This window comes from Homo sapiens, chromosome 5, assembly GCF_000001405.40.
Source record: "Homo sapiens chromosome 5, GRCh38.p14 Primary Assembly".
In the NCBI taxonomy this organism is placed as follows: Eukaryota; Metazoa; Chordata; class Mammalia; order Primates; family Hominidae; genus Homo; species Homo sapiens.
The window spans coordinates 98,468,087-98,469,840 of record NC_000005.10 but is presented as its reverse complement, the minus strand read 5'-3'; the positions used below and the strand labels follow the sequence as shown (position 1 = coordinate 98,469,840).

Sequence of the window (1,754 nt, the reverse complement as noted above, 5' to 3'; positions counted from 1 at the left end):
ATTGCTTGAACCTGGGAGGCGGAGGTTGCAGTGAGCTGAGATCACACCACTGCACTCCAGCCTGGGTGACAGAGCGAGACTCCATCTCAAGAAAAAAAAAAAAAAGAGAATATTAAGAATATTCCTGTCCACGAGCATGGGACCTTTTCCCATTTGTTTGTGTCATCTACAGTTTCTTTCATCAATGTTTTATAGTTCTTTTTCAGAGACCTTTCACCTCTTCGATTAAATGTATTCATAAGTATTTCTTTTATGTGTGTGGTACTGAGAGCTGAAGCTGGCTGGGCTTCTGGGCCAGGTGGGGACTTGGAGAACTTTTCTGTCTAGCTAAAGGATTGTAAATGCACCAATCAGTGCTCTGTGTCTAGCTAAAGGTTTGTAAATGCACCAGTCAGCACTCTGTCAAAATGGACCAATCAGCAGGATGTGGGTGGGGCTAAATAAGGGAATAAAAGCAGGCAGTGGCAACTCGCCTGGGTCTGCTTCCACGTTGTGAAGCTTTGTTGTTTTGCTTTTTGCAATAAATCTTGTTGCTACTCAGTCTTTGGGTCCGCACTACCTTTATGAGCTGTAACACTAACCACGAAGGTGTGCAGCTTCACTTCTGAAGCCAGGGAGGCAACAAACCCACCAGGAGAAACAAACAACTCCAGAGGTGCCACCTTTAAGAGCTGTAACACTCACTGCGAAGGTCTGTGGCTTCACTCCTGGAGTCAAGTGAGACCACGAGCCCACTGGAAGGAAGAAACTCTGGACACATCTGAACATCTGAAGGAACAAACTCCGGACACACCATCTTTAAGAACTGTAACACTCACCTCGAGGGTCTGCGGCTTCATTCTTGAATTCAGCGAGATCAAGAACCCACCAGAAGGAACCAATTCTGGACGCAGTATTTGTAAATTGGATTGAATTCTTGATTTGGTTTTCAGCTTGAGCATTGTTGGTGTATAGAAAAGCAACTGGTTTTTCAGTATTAATTTTGTGTTCTGAAATTTTACTGATGTTGTTTATCAGGTCTAGAGGTGTTTTAGAGGATCTTTAGGGTCCTCTAGGTATAGGACCATGTGGCATACAATTTGACTCCTTCATTTCTCATTAGGATGCCTTTTATTTATTTATTTTTGTCTTGCCTGATTGCCCTGGCTAGGGCTTCCAGTACTGTATTGAATTAGAGTGGTGAAAGTGGACATCCTTATCTCGCTCCAGTTTTTAGGAGAAATACTTTCAACTTTAGCCTGTTCAATATGATGTTCACTGTGAGTTTGTCAAAATAATAATTATTATTTTGGGGTGTGTTCCTTTGATGCCTAGTTTGTTGAAGGTTTTTATCATGAAAGGATGTGGATTTTATTGAAGGCTTTTTCTGTGTACGTTGAGATGATCATACGGTTTTTGTTTTTAATTCTGTTTATGTGGTGAATCATACTTACTGATTCGTGTCTGCTGAATCATCCATGCATTCCAGGAATAAAGCTCACTTGGTCATGATGAATTCTATTTTTGATATGCTGTTGGATTCACTTTGATGGTATTTGTTGAAGATGTTTGTGTCTATGTTCATCAGGGATATTGGGCTGTAGTTTTCTTTTTTTGTTGTATCATTACCAGATTTTGTTGATAACTGTTTTGTAGAATGAGTTAGGGAGGAATCCCTCCTTGATTTTTTGGGAATAGTTTCCATTAAATCGATACCAGCTCTTTGTATGTCTGGGAAGATTTGGCTGTAAATCCATCTGGTCTAGGGCTCTTTT

General features: G+C 40.8%; 1 annotated feature.

The window, feature by feature from the left end:
* Positions 350-1,549: an enhancer, noted in NCBI's record as "CDK7 strongly-dependent group 2 enhancer chr5:97803996-97805195 (GRCh37/hg19 assembly coordinates)". NCBI's record gives its function as "activates an origin of replication core promoter dependent on BRD2, BRD4, P300/CBP, MED14 and CDK7 cofactors, with strong dependence on CDK7, by STARR-seq in HCT116 cells {active_cell/tissue: HCT116}" and the evidence as "EXISTENCE:reporter gene assay evidence [ECO:0000049][PMID:35650434]".